Source organism: Homo sapiens, chromosome 13 (genome assembly GCF_000001405.40).
Source record: "Homo sapiens chromosome 13, GRCh38.p14 Primary Assembly".
Lineage (NCBI taxonomy): Eukaryota > Metazoa > Chordata > Mammalia > Primates > Hominidae > Homo > Homo sapiens.
In genome coordinates this window covers 100,432,324-100,455,721 of record NC_000013.11, presented here as the reverse complement: position 1 = coordinate 100,455,721, position 23,398 = coordinate 100,432,324, and the positions used below count along the sequence as shown (strand labels likewise).

The following is a 23,398-nucleotide window of genomic DNA, read 5'->3' as shown; positions in this document are numbered from 1 at the left end:
TCTCAAAAAAAAAAGAAAGAAACGATTGCATATGTGCCATCAGTACACATATACCCACGTACCAAAATGCTTCGGGTAGTAGTGAGAATTACAGCACAAAACACTGGAAACTACCCAATTATCCATGAGTAGCAGGCTAGTTTATCAACACCACAGCATCCTGCATTGCTGAGCATAAATGAATTATACCTCCATGCAACATACGAGTCTCACAAACACAAAGCAAAATCACCAAGTCACAGATGATTCCAGAATATAATTCTATGTATATCAAGTTTAAAAACGCGTAAAACAAAAATGTATATCACTTAGGGATATAAATGTGGGAAAATTATAAAGAAAAGCAAAGAATAATAGATACAAGTCGGGAAGATGTTAGTTCCTTGTGCAGGGAGAGAATGAGTGACAGAATGGGAGTAACACAGAGACCTTCCAAACTAATGGTTACGTTTTTAAAAACTCTTCAGGCTAGTAGCCTCCTTCTCAAGGAAGGCTTCCCTGGTCACACCACTTACAATTCTGGTCACTCTTTCCAACATTTTATTCCACCCTTTGCCCACTTTATTTACTTTTTTTCATTAGCAGTTACCACTGCTTGACATACTACATATTTTACTTTTTTGATGTATTTGATCCTCCCACCTCAGCCTCCCAAAGTGCTGGCTTTATAGGCATGAGTCACCAAGCCAGGCCTGTATTTCCTGTCTTTAGTCTTTTGTTCAAGTCTTACACTTAGGTATGCAAATCTGTTGTATCATCATTCTTTATAAATGTTTTATAAGAATGTAAAGTATAATATTTCATATATATAATATCTAATACAAGCATTTTTTTTAAAGTAATGAGATTTGTTTTACTGAAAATGAAAATCACAAACCAGCTTTTTTTAAAAGTTCAGAGTGAATAAAAAATGAAATGAATTATTTTTAAGTTTGTATTTTCTCTAAGTTGAACAGTAACCTTATTTTTGAACCTTATTTACACAACAGAAGTACTTCTCTTAGTCTAAAATTGAACTCTCCTTTGAACATTGAAGATCATGTTTATCAATATTGACAAAAACAAACTTATATAGAAAATTCTACAAGGATTCTCACAAAGACAAATCTATACCTGGAAAGCATCACCTTTGCCATGGGACATGCTGCTATTCCTGACCTGTGTGTCTTGGAAACTATACTTGCTTTAGACATCTTTGACTGAAGCAACATATGCTAGCTAGGAATCAATCTGTATTTGTTGTAACAGGACCACTACTATCTTCAAACTATTTCTTTCCCCCTTTCAGACTGATCTACTATTGCTAATAACACACACAGAAAAATTCAGTAAAACAAAGCACATTGGCCATCCAAACTGCTATGCTGTACTGTGAATTTTACAGTAATTAGAAATTACTCTAGAAATTGTACCTGAAACTGACATTCCTGCTAGGTATAAACTGTATAAACAGAGTGGACACAGCCCCTTTAGAACTCATTGGCAAGGAATCTATGATTTATTAGGGGCAGAGGAAAGTGTCAGCTACATGAAATTCTTTTTTTTTTTGGCCAGGTGCGGTGGCTCACGCCTGTAATCCCAGCACTTTGGGAAGCTGAGGCGGGTGGATCATGATGAGGTCAGGAGATCGAGACCATCCTGGCTAACACAGTGAAACCCTGCCTCTACTAAAAATACAAAAAAATTAGCCGGGTGTAGTGGCCGGCACCAGTAGTCCCAGCTACTCAGGAGGCTGAGGCAGGAGAATGGCCTGAACCCAGGAGGCGGAGCTTGCAGTGAGCGGATATCGAGATCGCGCCACTGCACTCCAGCCTGGGCAACTGAGTGAGACTCTGTCTCCAAAAACAAAAACAAAACAAAACAAATCAAAAAGACATTCTTTTTTTCCCTTTTTTCCGGTGACTTTTGTTGTCCATTTAAGTAGGGGTGTGTACATGTGGTGTGTTTTTGTTTCTTGTGTTTTTTTATGCTAGCATGTTTTGGGTGCCTGAAGTGGATAAAAGGGAGTGAAATTGAAGGGCACCTGCTGATGGAACAGGCCCTGAACTGAGAGCCAGGAAATCTGTATACCCTTTAGTGCTCTACACACCAGCCAGACGTGAAACCTTGGGGAAGTCAAGTGACCTTTTCTAAGATACAGTTTCCTTATCCATGGAAGACAGCTTAGTTCAGCTCCACAGTCCCAAAAAGCTCCCTGCACTTTCTTTTTCTCCATTTGTTTCTTCTTCTTCTTTTTTTTTTTTTAAACTAGAGTGTAGTGGTTGCAATGTCAGCTCACTACAACCTCCACCTCCAAGGTTCAAGCGATTCTCCTGCCTCAGCCTCCTGTAGTAGCTGGGATCGCAGGCTCCTGCCACCATGCCTGGCTAATTTTTGTATTTTTAGTAGAAACAGGGTTTCACCATGTTGGCCAGGCTAGTCTTGAACTCCTGACCCAGGTGATCCTCCCACCTCAGCCTCCCAAAGCGCTGGGATTACAGGTGTGAGCCACCATGCCCGGCCTCCATTTGTTTTCATATTTGCTTTTTTCTTTGAGACAGGGTACAGGGTCTCACTCTCACCCAGGCTGGAGTGCAGTGGTGTGATCACGGCTCGCTGTAGCCTCGACCTCCCTGGGCTCAAGTGATGTTCCTGGGTAGCTGGGACCACAGACATGCACCACCACACCCAGCTAATTTTTTGTAAGGATGGGGTCTCCCTTTGTTTCCCTGGCTGGTCTTGAACTCCTGGGCTCAAGTGATCCTCCTACCTCAGCCTCCCAAAGGGCTGAGTTTATAGGCACGAGCCACCGAGCCAGGCCTGTATTTCCTTTCTTTAGTTTTCTTTTCAAGTCTAACACTCAGGTCCTACATTGGCCAATTTCAGTCATTCATTTGCCCAACCCTGACTGAATACCTCCTCCAAGCCAGGCCTTGTTCAGGGCACTGGGCAGAGCACGCTGAGCAGAACAGACAAATCACCCTGCACTCAAGGAGCTTATCACTTCCAGGTGAGGAAGATAGACAACAAATACATCAAAAAAGGAAAATTGCAGTATGTCAAGCAGTGGTAACTGCTAATGAAAAAAATAAATAAATAAAGTGGGCGAGGGGGAATAAGATGTTGGAAAGAGTGACCAGAACTGTAAGCGGCGTGACCAGGGAAGCCTTCCTTCAGAAGGAGCCTACTGAGTAAAGACCGGAAGAAAGTGAGGAAACCCCTGAGCAGACATGTAGGGGCAGATGTTCTTAGTAGAAGAAAAACAAGGGCAGAGACCCTAAGGCATGTGCCCAGCAGGTCTGAAGAAGAGCAACAAGGCCAACCAAGGGATGTTTTCAAAGGACTCCTTTTCCTGCTCTATTAGTGATGGACTAGGGAGTAGCATGGCAGTGAGGTGGACGCCAGCTACTGCCATCCTCCAAACAAGAGATGGCTAAAGGCAGGGCCAGGAGTGGGGGGCGTGGGGACACAGAGACAGAGACAGGGGAGAGGGAGACAGGGAGAGACAGATGGGGAAAAGAGAAAAGGAGAGAGAGAGAAGAAAAAGAGGAGCGAGAAAGAGGAGAAAGAAAAAAGAGAAGGAGAGAGGGAGAGGAAGAAGAGGAGAGAGAGGGAGAGGAAGAAGAGGAGAGAGAGAAAGGAAGAGGAGGAAGAGGAGGAAGAGGAGAGAGGGAGAGGAGGAAGAGGAGAGAGGAAGAGGAGGAAAGGAGAGAGGGAGAGGAGGGAGAGAGGGAGAGGAGAGAGAGAGGGAGAAAAGAGAGAGAGGGAGAGGAGAGAGAGGGAGAGGAGAGAGAGGGAGAGGAGAGAGAGGGAGAGGAGAGAGAGGGAGAGGAGAGAGGAGAGGAAGAGGAGAGAGAGGAGAGGAAGAGGAGAGAGAGGAGAGGAAGAGGAGAGAGAGGAGAGAGAGGAGAGGAAGAGGAGAGAGAGGAGAGGAAGAGGACAGAGAGGAGAGGAAGAGGACAGAGAGGAGAGGAAGAGGACAGAGAGGGAGAGGAAGGAGAGAAGAGAGAGAGAGAGAGAGAGAGAGGAGAGAGGAGAGGAGGGGAAGAGGAGAGAGAGGAAGAGGAGAGAAAGTAATCAAGGATTAGTTCAAGTTGCCATTTTCAGAGAGAGGAAAAACTGAGGGAGAAACTTTTCGAGCTCAGTTTCCGATACATGAAGTTGAGAAACCGATTAGAAACCCAGTAGAGATGCTAAGTAGCAGAGACAGCATGAGTGGACTTCCCAGCACGAACACTGAGGAGTGAAAGCAGTCCTCTCCATCCACGTAATGCAGCTCTGTGTGGCCCTTAAGGCGACTGAGGTCCATCTTACGGACTGACACAGAAAGGTGTCCAAGATCTATTATTGCATGAAAAGATGCATAATTTTCTGGAAGAATTATCTATTGCTAATAACTTAAAAACCTCTAGGGATAGGATATATACTTCTGTGATGGTTAATTTTATGTGTCAACCTGACGAGGCCATGGTACCCAGATGTTAGGTCAAACACTGAGATGTATCATCGAAGATATTTTTAGATGAGACGAACACTGAAATCAGTAGACTTAGAGTTTAGCAGATCACCCTCCACAGTGGGTGGGCCTCATCCAACCCGTTAAAGGCCTTAAGAGAAAAAGACAGACCTCCCCAAGCAAGGAGGGCTTCAGCCAGTGGACTGTCTTTGGACTTGAACTGCAACGCTCCCCTGGGTCTCCAGCCTGCTCATCTACCCTGCAGATTTTAGTCTTGCCAAGCCTCCACAATTGCTTGAGCCAATTCCTTAGATCTATCTTTCTCTTTCTCTCTACACATACGCACACATCTTGTTGATTCCATTTCTCTGGAGAATCTTGACTAATGCAACATATTATGACATACATTTGAATTGTATTTCAAATGTTTTACAATAAGCATGTATTACCTTACTAATCAGAAAAACAAGAATAATCACAAAACTTAGTTCCAATACTTAAAATTTAGGTTACATTGACCAAGTACCTATACATATACTTTATATACATAAATTATATATACATCTCTATAATCGATAAAGCATTCAGTAAACACACATTTTATTAACATCCTTCCTATCTCAATGGCTGCAAAACCCTTTTTCACGCAAGCTCTCTCGCCTGAAATACCTCTTGATATTCTTGCAGAATACCTCTGATATTCTTAATAAACTCCAGAGTTATCTGAAATGCCCAATATGAATCCATATCCTGAATGAGGTACCCAAAGGACATGAACAGACATTTCACAGATTAGAAATGATATCTGGTGAATGAATACATGGAGAAATATTCAAATACAATAGCAATAAACAGAAAAATGAAAATTAAAATAAGGTACTTTTTTTTTTTTTGAGACGGGGTCTCGCTCTGTCACACAAGCTAGAGGGCAGTGGCACAATCGTGGCTCACTGCAACCTCCACCTCCTCAGTTCAGGCGATTCTCCTGCCTCAGCCTCCCTCAGCCTCCTGAGTAGCTGGGATTATAGGCGCCCACCACCACAACCCGGCTAATTTTTGTATTTTTAGCAGAGACAGGGTTTCACCATGTTGGTCAGGCTGGTCTCAAACTCCTGACCTTGGAATCCACCTGCCTCAGCCTCCCAAAGTGCTGGGATTACAGGCGTGAGCTGCCGCACCAAGCCAAATAAGGTACCTTTTTAAACAAATTAGTTTGAAAATTATAGTAACTAATACTAATTATAAACTTATAAGTAAAATAGTAATAATAAATTGAAACTCTTCAGCAGATCAAGTTTACTAATCTTGAAAATTACAACTCACACTAGGTGACAATGCAAAGTTGTGTTCTAATATATGATGGGTGGTGTTCTAAAGGGACATAAAATAATGGGCAACATGTATAATAAGCCATAAAACTATTTATGACTTTGATTCTATTTGGGAGAAAATATATCATACATGTTTAAAAATATCTTATCCACATTTGAAAATAATTCCAGGCCGGACATGGCTCACACATGTAATCCCGCACTTTGGGAAGCCGAGGTGGATGGATCACTTGAGGCCAGGAGTTTGAGGCCAGCCTGGCCAACATGGTGAAACCTCATCTTTAGAAAAAAACACACAAAAATTAGCCGAGCTTGGTGGCAGGCACCTGTAATCCCAGCTATTTGGGTGGCTGAGGCACGAGAATCGCTTGAACCCGGGAGGCAGAGGTTGCAGTGAGCTGAGATTGTGCCCCTATACTCCAGCATGGGCAACACAGTGAGACTCTGTCTCAAAAAAGATAATAATTCCAAACACTAAAATAAAGTGAAATATATGAAGTTGTTCCCTAGAATATCATTTGTAAAGGCAAAAAAGTAGAGGTAATTTAAATATCTAGCAGTAATGAAGCCAAGTTCAAACACATGAGCTACAACTAGTTGAACATTTTTTCTCTGTAAATTAAGAGAATAAAGAATGATTTCATACTTACCACTGTACCAAGAAACTGAATGCTCATGTTTCCACCTGCTTCTCGAGAAAGACACTAAAAAACAAACAAGAGATATAAAATGAACTCATATCTGCACAGCTTGTATGTAATGTTCACGATAGCCAAAAAACCCAAATGTCCATCAACTGATGGATGGGTAAACAAAATATAGTATAGCCATACAGTGGAATATTATTTGGCCATAAAAAGGAATGAAGTAGTGATACATGCTACAATAGAAGTTGGTCACCAAGGATCATGCATTATATGATTCCACTTAATAAGAGATGTCCAGAATAGTAAAATCCATGGAGATGGAAGGTAGATTGGTAGATGCCTCCAAGAGGAGGTCTGGGAGGACATGGAGATGACTGCTAATTGGTGTGGGGTTTCTCAAGGGTATAAACATGGTCTAAAATTGACTGTGGTGGTGGTGGAACACCCCTGTGAATTGACTACAAACCACTAAACTGTAACTTTAAATGGGTGAATTGTATGGTGTGTGAATTATATCTCAATAAAATAGTTATAGAAAATGAATTAGCATTTGTTTAAAACAACAATGCAATTCTATGTCCAGAGAGTAGTGAAAGAAATAACCTCTTTATTATTCATTTATTTATAAATAAAATTTGTTTACAGCAAATATATCACTTGCATATATCTTGTTTGAATTTTAATTAAAAGTAAATACTATGACTATTAAAATTTTAGTTAAAAGTAACTACTACTGCTACTAAAAATGGGTGAATAAGTAGTACACTGGAAGCTGACTACACTGTGAGATAATTCTCACCTACAAAACTGGTCTGTTGGGCCAGGCGCGGTGGCTCATGCCTGTAATTCCAGCACTCTGGGAGGTTGAGGCAGGCGGATCACGAGGTGAGGAATTCAAGACCAGCCTGGCCAATATGGTGAAACCCCGTCTTTACTAAAAATACAAAAATTAGCCAGGCGTGGTGGTGCACACCTGTAGTCCCAGCTACTCGGGAGGCCAAGGCAGAAGAATTGCTTGGACCCAGGAGGCGGAGGTGAGGTTGTGGTGGGCCAAGATCCTGCCACTGCACTCCAGCCTGGATGACAGTGAGACTCCGTCTCAAAAAACAAAAACAAAAACAAAAAAAACTTGCTCTACTTAATCCTAACGTATTCCTCAGAATTCTTCCTCTTCTGGCTAATCAGAGAGGGCTCAGTGACTTCAAAGACTACACACACAAATAAAGCAGTTCTAACTAAGCCAGCATCATTTTTTTAAGTTCCCAGATGTAGAGTATTAGTGGCTTTCACTCAACTACATGCCATGAGCATTACGATACAGATGTATCCTAATTTCATTCCTTTTTACAGAAGTGGAGGTTTACCAACTCTGATCTCTATGATCACAGAAGTAATAGAACCCAGAGTGAACCTCTAGAAATCAAGCTGAGTCCTCGGTTCCTTGACGGAGGGAGGTTAGATCAATAAGAAAGACAGTGGTTTAATGCAAAATGTTTTCCCCTACCTGCAAATATTGCCAAGTAAATTGACACAATGGTAATCTAGATAGCATACTTAAGGCAGTGTGGTATAGAGTAGAAAAAAAATCAGTATGGGAGCATTTTGACCCATGTCACTTCTTTCTTTTTTTTTTTTTGAGACAGAGTTTCATTCTTGTCACCCAGGCTGGAGCGCAATGGCACCATCTCGGCTCACAGCAACCTCTGCCTCCCAGGTTCAAGTGTTTCTCCTGCCTCAGCTTCCTGAGTAGCTGGGATTACAGGCACCTGCCACCACATCTGCCTAATTTTTGTATTTTTAGTAGAGACGGGGTTTCACCATGTTGGCCAGGCTGGTCTCGAACTCCTGGCCTCAGCTCCCAAAAGTGCTGGGATTACAGGTATGAGCCACCATGCCCAACCAACCCATTTCACATCTTTTTTTTTGAGACAAAGTTTCACTCTGTTACCCAGGCTGGAGTGCAGTGGCACAATCTCGGCTCACTGCAACCTCTGCCTCCTGGGTTCAAGCGATTCTCCGGCCTCAGCCTCCCAAGTAGCTGGGACTATAGGCATCTCCCACCATGCCCGGCTAATTTTTTGTATTTTTAGTAGAGATGGGGTTTTGCCATGTTGGCCAGGCTGGTCTCGAACTCCTGACCTCATAACCCGCTCCCTCAACCTCCCAAAGCGCTGGGATTACAGGTGTGAGCCACTGCGCCCAGCCAACCCATTTTACTTCTAAGAATTTATCCTGAGGAAAAAATGTAAGGATAGGCAGAAAAATAAAGCTGAACAAATATCACAGTGTAGTTTATAGAACTGAACAATGGCAAGAAATGTAAATGACGGGGAAAGACACTAGCTAAGTAAATTGTGGTATATATCCAGCCTGCCATTTAAAAAGTTTCAAGATATGAAAAACGCTTACAGTTTATTTCTAAGGGCAAGAAGAACAAAACAATATGTTCAGAATAAGCCTTGTAAAAAATTATGTTACAGAAAAATTCTAGAATTAGTGCACATAAAACTTATTTCTAGGCAAAAATATTAGTTGACTCTCGTTTTCACTTATCTGTTTTTCCTATTCTTTTATACACACATGTTGAACTTAATAAAGGCAAAAAAAGACAGAAAACAAAATGGAATAAAATAGACTCCTTTCCTGTGTCTTAGGGAGACTCAGTTAAGAACGGAGGGTTGATTCCTAGGTTTTGACACTGGCATTTCTACGTTGGTCATCCATCTAATCATCCATCTACCTCTCAACTGTGTTGGGCACTGCTGGCTGAATTAAGACCCACCTTCCAAGAGACTAAGGAAAAGACAGCAGAATTATTGGAAAAATAAGTATAATTCAATACGATAAATGCATAGTACAAAATGTACAAAGTATTATGGGATAAGAGGACAGACCGACTAAATGAGCAGAAAGGTTAATAAGGAAGACATTAGATAGGTTAAGACAGACATTAAAGCTGGATATTTAAAAACAAACAGGGGCAGGGTGCGGTGGCTCATGCCTGTAATCCCAGCACTTTGGGAGGCTAAGGTGGGTGGATCATTTGAGGTCAGGAGTTTGAGACCAGCCTGCCCAACACGGTGGCTCTACTAAAAATATAAAAAGTAGCCGGGCGTGGTGGCAGGTGCCTGCAGTCCCAGCTACTCAGGAGCCTGAGGCAGGAGAATCACTTGAACCTGGGAGTTGGAGGTTGCAGTGAGCCGACTGTGCCAAAGCACTCCAGCCTGGGCACCACAGCGTGACTCTGTTTCAAAAAAACAAAGAAAAGAAAAGAAAGAAAAAAAACATGAACAAGATTCAGCCATTATGGAAAACAGTACGGAGGTTTCTCAAAACATTAAAAATAGAACTACCATATGATCCAACAATCCCACTACTGCATATATATCCAAAGGAAAGAAATCAGTTATGTCAAGGAGATACTGGCATCCCCATGTTTCTTGCAGCACTATTCATGATGGCCAAGACAGGGAATCAGCCTAAGTGTCCATCCATGGACCAACGGATACAGAGAATGTGGTATAATATGCAAAATGGAATATTATTTAGACTTAAAAAAGAAAATCCTACCATTTGCAACAACATGGATGAACCCGGAAGACATTACATTAAGTAAAATAAGCCAGGTACATACAGAAAGACATACCATATGACCTCACTTACATGAAGAATCTGGAAACGTCAAACTCATAGAGTAGAAAATAGAATGGTGGTTGGGGAGGGGGTGTTGAGGAAATATTAATCAAAACCCACAAAATTTCAGTTATAAAGGAGAAATAGGTACGAGAAAGCTATTATACAATATAGAAACCACAGTTAATGACGACGTATTATTAATATATTCTTGAAATTTTCTGAGTATATTTAAGTGTACCTCACATACAGAATAAGTATATGAGGTAATACATATATGTTAATTAGCTCAATGTAGCCATTCCACAGTGTATCCACTGTTTGAAGTGTGTACTTCAAAACATGTTGTACATGTGTGAAAGTTTGAAAGTTTATCTCCTCCAAACCTCATGTTGAAATGTGATCCCCAGTGTTGGAGGTGGGGCATAATGGGGGTGTGTGGATCATTGGGAAGGATCCCTCATGAATAGATTAATGCCCTCTTTGAGGGCGAGTTCAAGCTCTTAGTTCCTGAGAAAGCTGGTTGTTTAAAAGAGCCTGGCACCTCCCTCCCTTCTCTCTCACTCTGTGACCTCCACACACACCAGCTCCCCTTTGCCTTCTACCATGAATAAAAGCAGCCTGAGGTCCTCATCAGATGCCTAATCCTCAACTTTTCCAGACATCAGAATCACGAGCCAAATAAACTTTTTCTCTTTATAAATTATCCAGTCTCGGGTATTCCTTTGTAGCAACACAAAAGACACTACTAAGACAGGATGACAAATATATGCAACTTTAATTTATCAATTAAAAACCAATTACAAATTTTAAAAATGAGCAGGAATTTTCCAAAAGAAAACTGAAAAACAGCTGGGAACGGTGGCTCACACCTATAATCCCAGCACTTTGGGAGACCGAGGCGGGCAGATTGCTTGAGGTCAGAAGTTCAAAACCACCGGGTGCAGTGGCTCACGCCTGTAATCCCAGCACTTTGGGAGGCCAAGGTGGGCGGATCACCAGGTCAGGAGATTGAGACCATCCTGGCTAACATGGTGAAACTCCATCTCTACTAAAAATACAAAAATTAGCTGGGCATGGTGGCGGGCACCTGTAGTCCCAGCTACTCGGGAGGCTGAGGCAGGAGAATGGCGTGAACCCGGGAGGCAGAGCTTGCAGTGAGCCAAGATTGCATCACTGCACTCCAGCCTGGGTGACAGGGCGAGACTCCGTCTCAAAAAAAAAAAAAAAAAAAAAAAAAAAAAGGTTGTTCAAAACCAGCCTGGCCAACATGGTGAAATCCCGTCTCTTCTAAAAATATAAAAATTAGCCGGGCGTGGTGGTGGCACCTGTAATCCGAGCTACTCAAGAGGCTGAGGCAGGAGAATCACTTGAACCTGGGAGGTGGAGGTTGCAGTGAGCCAAGATTGCACCACCACTGCACTTCAGCCTGGGAGACAGAGCGAGACACCGTCTCAAAAAAAAAAAAAAAAATTGTGGGCTGATGAGACAGTTAACAAAAATTTCAGATTAAGGGATGGCACGATGGCATGGCAAGTTTAGGGAATGTTAAGCAGTTCAGCGTGGCCAGAAATAGGGTTGGATGAAGGTGGAAGTGGCAAGAAAGGAAACCAGGAAGGAATTATAAACCCAGGTCAGATCTTGTACAAAGAGAGCTCATACCTGACAAAGTTCTTACAGTTAAGAACTGGAGTGTGACATGCTCATGTTTTAGAAAGACGGTGGTCTGAGGTCATGCTGAAGATACATAGAATGGGGAAGGACGAGGCTAGGAGACCGAGTAAAACACCACTACAATCATTCAGTTAGGAGCCTGATGTGCTAAGCAGCCACAACAGAAGAACTAAGTCTGATTCAGACCTAGGACCTTAGGATGTGGAGAGCAAACAGACCTGAAAGACGATCTCAATTTTGCTCTACAGATGAGGAATCTAAGGCACAGGAATACAAAAAGTAATTTGGCTACCTGCAACTCTGCACAAAAAACTTTAATCTTGGTCCTGAGATTAAAAAAAAAAAAATCACAATAACCCACTGAACTGCTGCGTGGCAAGAAAGTCTGTGCATTCAGCTTCATACGACAAAAACTGCAAAAGCAGCTATACATGGCAGACAAAAATGAATGAATGTGGCTATGTTCTAGTTAACTGCTTATCATCAATAAGATCTGAATGTGACATCATACTTCTCATGGGTCATGAAACATTATTGATTTTTTTTTTTTTTGACAGTGTCTCATGCTGTCACCCAGGCTGGAGTGCAGTGGCATGGTCACAGCTCTCCACAGCAACTGCCTGGACTCCAGCGATTCTCCCACCTCAACCTCCCAAGCAGCTGGACCCACAGGCATGCACCATTGTACCCAGCCAATTTTTAAAAAAATTATTTGTAGAGACAAGGTCTCACTATGTTGCCCAGGCTGGATGAAACATTCTTCTTTAATTTTTTCCCCCAACTATTTAAAAATGTAATAACCACTCAAGTTGTGAGCCCCATAGAAACAGACGGTGCCTCCTGGTCTAAGCCACCAGTACCTCTCACCTGAGGTCTGCAATGGTCAAATCAATGATTTCTCTGTCTCTACCCCAAGGCCTGCAATGATTTAAAAAATCACATCACATCACTCTCCTACCCAAACCCTCCAAACGCTCCACAACATGAATAGAAAGAAACAACACAAAACAAAACAGTTCTTTGGCCCCTAGATGATCTGGTTCTGTCTTCCTCGTTCCACTCTCCCCAACTGGCCTTCACACAAAACAAGCTTGTCCCGTTTCAGAGCCTCTGCTTTGCCCCTTCTGCTACCTGGGACTTCCTTCCCCCAGACTTCTGCACGTTTGCCCCCTCCTCTTCGTAGGTCTCAGCTCAGTGTTAGCTATTCAGAGAGGACTTCCTAGCCATCCTTGCTAAAGCTGCCTTCTCTAGTGACTTTCTATCAATTTCATAGTCTTCATCCAACTTCTTAGTACTAAAATCACCTTATTTAGGTATTTACATGTTTAGTATCTACTTCCCCCTGCTGGAAGGTAAGTCTTGTTCCTTGTTCTATCTGCAGAGTCTAGAACACTGCCTAGGCCATACTGGGCGTTCCCTTCTATGTAGGAGACACTAAAACAATATTATCATTCCTTTGGCTGACACTACAAAGGTTAGATTCATTCCCAGGCAAATAGAAGTAATTTTGTATTATGTAAAATGGAAACAAATTTTCACATTAAAAACAAACTGTATCAATGAATGTGTGACCATAGGTATAAGTACCAATAAGCTGTCCTTAACATTGCATTCAATTTAAAGCAGGTCACAATTACATATATAATGACTGTCACCTTTTTTTCACCACTCTCCCACAGTTTGTAAAGGAAGGAAGGAAGGAAGGACAGGCCAGGCGTGGTGGCTCACGCCTGTAATCCCAACACTTTGGGAGGTCAAGGAAGGCGGATCACTTGAGCCCAGGAGTTTGAGGCCAGCCTGGCCAACATGGTGAAATCCTGCCTCTACTAAAAATACAAAAATTGGCCGGGCATGGTGGCACGCGCCTGTAATCCCAGCCACTCAGGAGGCTAAGGCAGGAGAATCGCTTAAACCTGGGAGGCGGAGGTTGCAGTGAGCTGAGATCATGCCATTGCACTACAGCCTGAGTGACAGAGCAAGACTCTGTCTCAAAAATAAAAAAAAAAAAAAAAGAAAAAAGGAAAAAGAAAAGATTGATGTAAAGAAAAACAGAAATAAAATTTCACTCAGAACTGGAATTTATTTCAATCTTCCCTAGCAGTAAGATATACTTTTCCTAGAGCCTAGGATTAAGATAATTCAGTTTTAGAATCCACAAAAAACAAAGTATTCAATGCCTATCATGAGTCTAATGCATGCCAAAACAAATATGAACTGACCACTTGATATGCTAATAGCAAAATTCTTCATAAAAATTAAGACTTGTATTTGATGAAACATATCCACGCTTATTAAAATATTTTCTGCAAATATTTCATCCCTTTTCCTATTTTAAATGGCACTCCAAAGCCAGATAAAAATGTTCTCCTTTTCTTATTTTGATAGTCTGCTCCAATGTTTACATAATATATTCCTTTTTATTTCTTTAAAAAATACTTTAGAAGATTTTGTTAACAAAATGACTTCAACATTTGTTAGAATCAAATTCATACAAAATTAGCAAAGTTATTCACACAAAGGCAAAAACATTTGCAAAACAATAAATCAAATGTTCCAAAAATACCTTCCTAGGATAATAAAACCAGAGGTAATTTCACCTTTAAAAATAATGTCACTGAACAGTAAGAGGAAGAAATAGTAATAGTTTTCTTTTTCCCCTCACTGATTTCCAACTTGGTAATATGTTTTAAAGGCCATTACTGTGGGATTTGTCTTATCGGTCTGCAGTGCAGCTGTTTGTATTATTTTCCACATTTACTACAATCAGTGTTTATACTACTCAAAATTCTCTTCCTCAGGCAGCAACGAAAATATAATTTTCTAGTTAACAGAAGAGGAGAAAAGCTTGTATGTGTGGGGGTGTGGGAAGGGGAAGTTCAGAAAGACATTTTCCCATTCGGTTAAATTTTAAAAGCAACTCCAAATTATAAAACCCAGAAAACTGCTAAGCTTCTAGGACTACATTACAAAAGCAGGTAGCCTTGCATCAAAATTAATACTTTATACCATAGCTGTAAATACATCCCAGCTGTTAAACTGCCTTGAAATATTTTAAAGCAGAGTCAACAGAGTTATTTCTGTTCTACTGGTGAGCTTGTTTCTAAGATGTGTAGCTGTATTGATATGTCAGGAATGTAAAAAGGATATGGTTAATAATTACTCTTTCATTTCCTACTTCATTCGAAAAATACCAACCTCTACTTATTCTAAGTTATATATTTATATATCCTATATATCCTGAGAGTGTCATGTCACATGCAATGATTCTAGAGAAATCACATGTGTAAAGTACAAAATAATAATGACTTCAAACAGATGGGGGTGGGGGGAACATTTTTAAAACCTGTAAAACACTTTAGGACTGAAAACATAAGACAATTACTTCCCAATTCATTTGTGTACCAGCAAAGTACAGGCAAAAATGTATGCCGCTTTATTTTTCTAATTAAAATATTAATTTTACTATCTATAAACAGTTATTAGGATTAAAACTAAAGTTTATTCTTGGAGGGTGTGGGAGCTATTTTAATCTAAAAAAAACTGAAAAGAAAATAACATTTTTAACTTCCTCTCAAGTAGATATGAAAATCAACAATTTATTTTCTTCAAAACTGAAATTTAAGGTTACAATTTTAAAATTGATTCAAATTCTGTGTGGACAACCATTTGTATATATACTACAGATAGTTTCACAATCTGCAAACAGAATAACATCTCGTCCATCATATTCATGTGCTTGTGTAATATTTTATATTACATAGGCCCACTGGGCATTTTAAGTTATCACGTTTTATATATATATATATATATATATATATATATATATATATATATATATATATATAATTTAATACTCTAGTCATTTCACAACTAATCCATTTAATCTGGTATTCTTCAGTAAATAACATGAGATTCATGTGACACTATTCCAAATTTGTCTGCTTTAACATAGAAAATTAGTTCCACTTAGCTGAATATCAAAGACCTATTCAATATAGAATGCAGTGGTGCTACAATCAGCTCTGCACTGTTATTTATAATAAATTTATCTTCTTTTGAAAATATTTGAGCAAGAATATGAGAAATAGAAAGAAAAAAGTCTTCAAAGGTACAGCATGAATAGCTTCACATCACACAAATGCAGAAATTGTTAGACCTTAGCAGGATCTCAAGATATTTTCAAAAGTATTTAGCTACTCCTCAGGCCTGAAGGCAACCTGCTGTGAGCAGGTGGATAGAAGAAATCACGCCATACAAAGAAACAGGCCAACAGCAGTTAGTCGGCTCTGCTTGCAAATGTTCAAACAACGTGACTATGCACGATGAAAATCTAGTATGTAAAACGCTAACGACAAACAATACATTAAATCCCGGTACACAAACTACACTGTAAGAAATAGAGAACAGCAAAATTGAAGAACTTCTTTCAAGGTCAAAAAAATTACTTCACAGGAATATAGACATAGTAAAAAAATAAAATAAAATAAAAAACTTCTATTCATCCAGCAGGTTCCACACTACAAAGGTTCTGGGGTTTGTGAGGAAAACAGAGAGTGAGCTCACCATGGCCAGGACACAGCGAATCTTCTGTTTGTTTCATCACTTTAATTATATGCCACAGGCAGGAAATCATTCCACGTTTTAAAAATGGTTGTAATTTTTTAAATCTTCTAATGGGAAATTTAAAAAGTTTGTCAGCTAGATGATAAATTCATCTTCTGTTTAAAAATAAATTCAACTCATCTATTCCAAATTTTAAGAGATAAAAACCAAAACTGTGGTTGACATTAAGGGGGAATACTTTAAAAACCATTATGTAGAGTTTTCTCTATCTGTAAACACTCTCTGGTTTACAAAAAATTTTGCCTGTGAGTGGTCTAACCCAGTAACCACTAGCTACACGTAGCTACTGAGAACTTGAAATATGACTGGTGTGACTGAGGAGTTAAATTTTCAATTGTATTTAATGTTAATTTTAAAACTGAAGCAGTGTAATTTTCTGTTAAACCCAACTCCATTGTTTTGGTAGGACTACATTCCACTCTGACCGTTCCATTGTTTAAGATACTGTTGTATTAATGCCAATGTCTATGTTGTTTCTGGTATCACATTAGTAATTTTTAAAAGTCTTTCATGTTGAAATGACAACATTTGGGGTATTATTCTGTGAAAGGGCCATAAATGCAAAGCAGCCCCCAAATGCGGAGGGAGCCAAGAAACCAAAGAATAAGGCAAAGAAACTCAATTTGTTGGTAAAGGGTGTTTTCTTGGGGGAACTTACAGACAGAAGCGTGATCTCGGATGGCTGCAAGACAGGTATAACCCACTCTGTTACTGGCCAGACCCAGAGCTTATATGCCACAGGGAAAGGGTGTACGTGCTCTACAGAGGCAATTAAAGGCATCCTCCAGAACAGGTGGGAATGCTATGTGCGTCACTGCCTATAATTTGTGTGGTAAGATCAAGGCTGCTTTGTTCTTACACTAAAAACAGTAAATAAAATCAGAATCAGGAGGCATTCACGAGACTGGGGCTAATGAGAAATCAACATGGCTTTGCTGGGAGTGGTGGCTCAGGCCTATAATCCCAGCACTTTGGGAAGCAGAGGCGGGATGATCACTGGAGTCCAGGAGTTCTGGGCAACATAGTGTGCCCTCATCTCTACAAAAAATCAACAAAATTAATTGCATGTGGTGGCACAGGCCTGCAGTCCCACCTACTCAGAAGGCAGAGGCAGGAGGATCAGTTGAGTCTGGGAGGTTGAGGCTGCAGTGAGCCATACTGCACCACTGCACTCTAGCCTGGGCAACAGAGCAAGACCCTATCATTAAAAAAAAAGTAAAATAAAAAATAAATTACATTAAAACAACAAGGTTTGCCTTCAAGAAAAAAAAAACAACATGGTGCATTAGCAATTAAGATGGAATCACTTTTGTCTCCACAGGTACACTGGTTTAAATAAAATGTATTAGTAAAATTAATTCCACTTGTTTCATCTTTTTTAATATGACTACTAAGAAATTTTAAATGACAGTTGGGAACAATGGCTCACACCTGTAATTGCAGCACTTTGGGAGGCTGAGGCGGGCAGATAACTTGAAGTCGGGAGTTCAAGACCAGCCTGGCCAACATGGTAAAACCCCCTCTCTACTAAAAATACAAAAAATTAGCTGGGCATGGTGGCAGGTGCCTGTAGTCCCAGCTACTTGGGAGGCTGGGGCAGAAGAATTGCTTGAGTCTGGGAGGCGGAGGTTGCAGTGAACTGAGATTGTGCCACTGAACTCCAGCCTGGGCAACGGACTCCGTCTCAAACACAAAACAAAACAAAGAGCTAATTAATTAAAACAAAGAAATTTTAAATATGGCTTGTGTTAGCCTTCTATTAGATAAGGCTATTTAATAAACGTCATTACCAACTGACTACTTCGGCAATGAAAACAGAAACACTGGTAAAAAAAAAAACAAATAAACAAATAAATATAAAATAGTTATTTCATTTTCCTTAAATGATGATATTTGAAGAAAAGTTGGCTAAATTATTAGAGAAATTAATAGAAAAAGACTTTAAAATTCTGAAGAGAACTTTTAATTATTTTCAAGAGTTCTCAATGTTTATGCCCCTGGTTCTTTATCATTTCAAAATATGTGATTTCCTCCTCCCTTAGGTAATATATCACTAGCTCCATATTCAAAGTTATCCACAATGATTAGACTTTTTCCGAGAGTATGATTTTCTTGAAGTCAGAAAGGCAGCGTACTTAAAGCAGGTGCGGGTGGTTCTGTGGGAGTAAGAGCTGATATGACCTCACCCAGCAACGGACAGTGAGAAAGCCTAGGGCATGCACAAGCCTTTGAGAAAGAGAAAACCAGGAATAGCAGGAGGCAGACCCTTTCCTACACCTATTGATACTATCAATAGCTATCTACACTTGTCAATAGGTGATACTGTGGGCCTAAAACAGCCGAGGTGCTACCCAGAGCAAACAGAGGCCAACAGGAAAGAACCATGCTTGGTGAGCAAAGCGCCTCTGTGGGCAAGTCCTTGGGAGCCCTCTTGTTTCTTTTTGCTCTCACAGAAACCATGGTTATTCTGTATCAAGAGAGGTCCACCAGCCACACTAATGGAGTATGGATTTCGCAAATGTTGGGAGGTCAGGAACTAAAAAGAATCAGCAAAACATTCTATAATGTAAGATGACTGTCCACTTACCCATTCACCCACCCACACCTATTCATCCAATTATTGAGCATTTATATGCGCCGAGAAGTCAGCAGGGCAGTGGGAATTAAAAGTCAAATCCAAAAGGAAACAGGTGATTTAGATCAATTAAAAGAGGTTAATAACCTATGAAATTTATTATTCTAATGATAGCACTGAGGCAGGAGAATAGGGTCTGGAGGCAGGGAACCCAAGGCTGTTTCACGCCAACTTCCTAGAACTAAATTGAAAGGAAAATCCTAGCTTTCCACACCTAAGTAATAAAAGGACCAGGGGCTACTCCCTTTGCAAACCACCCACCTTTTCTGTGTGGCAGATGGGAAATCGGACAGTCAATTTCCCATCCAATAACAAATCAGAAAATCAGATTGACTGTGGGTCCAGTCTTTGCAACTTTGTAACTTCACTCCAGTCTCTGAATGGTTGCTGTCCAAAACCAATCAGACTGATTGCCAGCCAAGTCTTCATTTGCATAAGAGTATAACTTTGCAACATGTTTGCACAGGAGTGTGACCTTTGTAACTTCACTTCAGCCTCTGGTTGGCTGCTTTCTGCAACCTTATAGGCTGCAACTTCATTTACATGAGGTGAGTATAAAGTAATCAATGGAAAACTTCTAGCAGGTATTTGGAACCAAGAAGATTCGGTATCCGGGCCCTTGAGCCACTGCTCAGGCTCGCTCCCACACTGTGGAGTACAGTTTCATTTTCTTTCTCTCTCTCTCTTTTTTTTTTTATTTGAGACAGAGTTTCGCTCTTGTTGCCTAAGCTGGAGTGCAATGGCTCGATCTCAGCTCACTGCAACCTCCACCTCCTGGGTTCAAGCAATTCTCCTGTCTTTGCCTCCCAAGTAGATGGGATTACAGGCATGCACCACCACACTAGGCTAATTTTGTATTTTTAGTAGAGACGGGGTTTCACGATGTTGGCCAGACTGGTTTCAAACTCCTGACCTTAGGTGATCCACCTGCCTCGGCCTCCCAAAGTGCTGGGATTACAGGCATGAGCCACCACACCTGGCCGCCTATACTTTTGTTTTCAATAAATCCCTGTTTTTGTTCTGTTGTTGCTTCATTGTTTGCTTTGCTGGACATGTTGTCCAATTCTTTGTTCAAAACGCCAAGAACCTGGATAACTTGCAATCATGACCCTCTACCAGTGACAGTATACACCAAAATACAACTTACTTTTAAAGGAATTTAATGGGTAATATTAAACTTATGAAGTTTACCAATGAAAACCAGGAACATGAATACACGTGATCGGACTGGATGAATCGGGAGCTAATTCCTGAAGCAAAGGTAAGTTGCCTTCCCAACTACTTACTCATCTAATCAGATAAAGAAGTTAAATGCTCCTTAATATGGTTTGGATGTGTCCGCTCCAAATCTCTTGCTGAAATGTGATTCTCGACATGGCAGGTGGGGCCTGGTGGGAGGTGTTTGGATCACAGAGGTAGATCTTGGTTGTTTAAAAGAGTGGGGCACCTCCCCGTTCTCTCTCACCCTCATTCCTGCTCTTGCCCTGTGATGCTCCTCCTCCTGCTTTGCCTCCACCATGACTGAAAGCTCCCTGAGGCCTCCCTCCCCAGAAGCTGAGCAGATGCTGGCACCATACTTCCTGTACAGCTGGCAGAACCATGAGCCATTTAAACCCGTTTTCTTGATAAATTATGCAGTCTCAGGTTTTTCTTTATAGCAATATAAGAACAGATGAACGCACTACTTTTCATGGAATCACAGGGGTTCAGCAACAAAAAGAAGTAGACGCCAAGTACCCATACATCTTTAAGTCAGATGCTAGCCAAGGCTACCTGGTAGAATGTGCTAGGAAGCTGTGGGACCAGTGACTGTCCATCTCCCACCTTAAAAGAATAAAAGAGGAAAATTAATTTGAGGAGGTCGAATTCTTAAGCTTAGAATTTAAGGCTGAACTCTGCTTAAGCTACGTGAAAGCGACTTCATGAGAATCACTTATTCATGCGAATTCTTAGAGACAGACCAAGAAGAGAAGCTTGTACTTTGTTGGTTTGGTGAGGCAAGGACTTATTACTATTTCCTGTGGCCAGACGTGGATTGTGCAGGAGAAAAGCAGGCGGGGTCATTATGAGGGACCATGCCCAGTGAGAACATTCAGAGTCAACACAGTAGTTGCTCAGGAGACCAAAGGCAACTGGAAAAGACAGGAGGCATTAAGTGTTCTGCAGGTGAGAAGTTCCCCCAAATCCACATGAAAGTATCCCAGGGCTACCGGCCAGCTTTGGACATCTGCCATGCCCCAAGAGAGTGAATGCCAGGTTGCCTCTGCCCCAGAAAACCTGGTTCTTCCTGCCATGCTCTTCTCATCTTTACCCCATACTGCAAATTCTGAGAGACCCAATATAGCAGCTCTGAAGTAGAAAAGGGTATTGTTGAGGCTCAGAAAATGATACCCCAAAGAGAAGGCCTCAGAAGTAACCTCAGAACTAAGATCTCTGACCTTCTGCCTTCCTGTCTCTCACCCCTCATTCTCTCCTGAGATGAGTCACAGACATCAGAATTCCTCTCCCGCAAAGACAACTATGAAACCAGAAAGAGGACTCTAACCCCTCCCTGCCTTTCTAAGAGCTGCTCATAAAGAAATTCTCTGGCCTACCCTTCTCTACAACAGTAGCAGGTCATAAGACCGTCATCCCAGATGGGTCTTGTCCCATACCTGGGAGGAAGAAATAGTACAAGAGAGGCCAGGAAGATCTGAACATAGGCCTTGCTGGGTTCCTCTCAGCCTACTAGCATTCACTTACATTCTTTGTCCCATCAGTTTTACACGGCTGCCCATTCTTCATTAAACCTAAGCATTAAAATGGACAGCTTTCCTTGTATCTTTGGATCTCTGTTCTGAAGACTCTCATGTCACATAAAACTTTGATTAAATAAATCAGTTATACTTTTCTCTTGTTAACCTGTCTTTTGTTATAGGAGTGTCTGCCATGGACACCCTTATGATGGGGAGGAGTGGGATCACACCCTTTTGCCCCTACAATATAAAGCAAGCAAGAAGAAAGCAACATTCTCCTCTGCACTAGTAAAGGTTTCTCAGTGTGAGGTCAAACTGAGTTTAGAGAGGAGAGGTTTTACCAGTTTTGATATTACAATGAACTAGACTTTGAAACACACCCTCCTCTCCCAAATACAGTATGGCTTGTTTATTACCTGGTAGCAACATTACAGACTGTTAGAATGGTATGTGGTTTTATATATGGGAAGGAAAGAAGTTGAAATAAAGGGTTTAAAAAAAAAAACAGCTCTAAGAAACTTGCTTCTACTTGGACTGAAAAAAGTGCCACTTGTGCAGTGAACTGGTTACAGAGTAATACCAATATAGGAAGGACACATCCTAGAAGTATTCGGAATGCTTTTTCTTCAGTTACTATCTAGATAAGTCCTGCTCCACAATGAGATACCACTTCACCCCCAATAGGATGGCTATTATTAAAAAACAAAACAAAACAGAAAATAACAAGTGTTAACAAAGATGGCACGAAACTGAAATTATTGTGCACTGCTAATGGGAATGTAAAATGGTGCAGCAACTATGGAGGTTCCTCAAAAAATTAAACATACAATTACCACGTGATCCAGCAATTCCACTTCTGGGCATATGCCCAAAAGAATGGGGTACTCAAACAGATATTTGTACACCCATGCTCATGGAAGCATAATTCACAGCAGCCAAAAGGTAGAAACAACCCAAATGTCCGTTGACAGAGGAATGGATAAACAACATGTAGTATATTCACACAATGGAATATTATTCAGCCATAAAAAGGAAAGACATCCTGTCACATGCTATAACCTGGATGAACCTTGAAGACAGTATGCTAAGTGAAATAAGCCAGTCACAAAAGACAAATACTATACCATTTCATTTATAGGCGGTACCCATACCCACAGTAGTCAAATTCATAGAAACAGAAAGTGGTTTCTATGCATGGAAACATAGGTTTCTCTCAAACTCAACCCCCTTTTTCTCTACACTGCTTGCACCCTAGTGGAGGATGAAGGCAGTAATAGGATTGTCTTCTAAATGAACTCCATCTCCACTTCACCCTTCAATCCCTTAACCCCTCCTCTATTATGAGGACACATTAATATTCTACAATGGCATTTTGATGGACGTTACTGTACTCTGCAAAAAGTTGTAATATCTCCACTGCTGACTGAAAAGCATAGATTCTTCAGGCTCTCATTCACTATCTGGTCCTCCAACCTATTTTTCCATGTTTAGCTCTCATTACTTCCCTAAATGAATACTTCCCAATTTGCCTGTTGATTCACAAACACGTTTTTCTAAGGTGTATCTCAAATATCATCTGATGCCCTTGGCTAAGGGTTTCCAGAAGATTAACAAAAAATAAAAGAGTGCAACTGACTGAGAGCTCACAGAAGCAAATATACTGAGGATCGTATTAAGCGAAAAAT

General features: G+C 40.8%; 1 protein-coding gene across 32 annotated transcripts in view; it reads right to left on the bottom strand.

Moving 5' to 3' along the window:
* PCCA (propionyl-CoA carboxylase subunit alpha) overlaps positions 1–23,398 on the bottom strand; it is a 441,343-nt gene that overhangs the window by 74,714 nt on the left and 343,231 nt on the right. For 29 of the 32 annotated variants that reach the window (NR_148030.2, NR_148027.2, NR_148028.2 and 26 more), the window contains one exon: positions 6,417–6,470. The exons of the other annotated variants lie outside the window; for them this stretch is intronic. Coding sequence is in view for 23 of the 29 variants with exons in the window: in XM_017020609.2 (XP_016876098.1) it covers positions 6,417–6,470 (54 nt within the window). In the remaining 6 variants the exon portion in view is untranslated. The remainder of the gene's footprint in view (positions 1–6,416; positions 6,471–23,398) is intronic. 32 annotated transcript variants of the gene reach the window in all.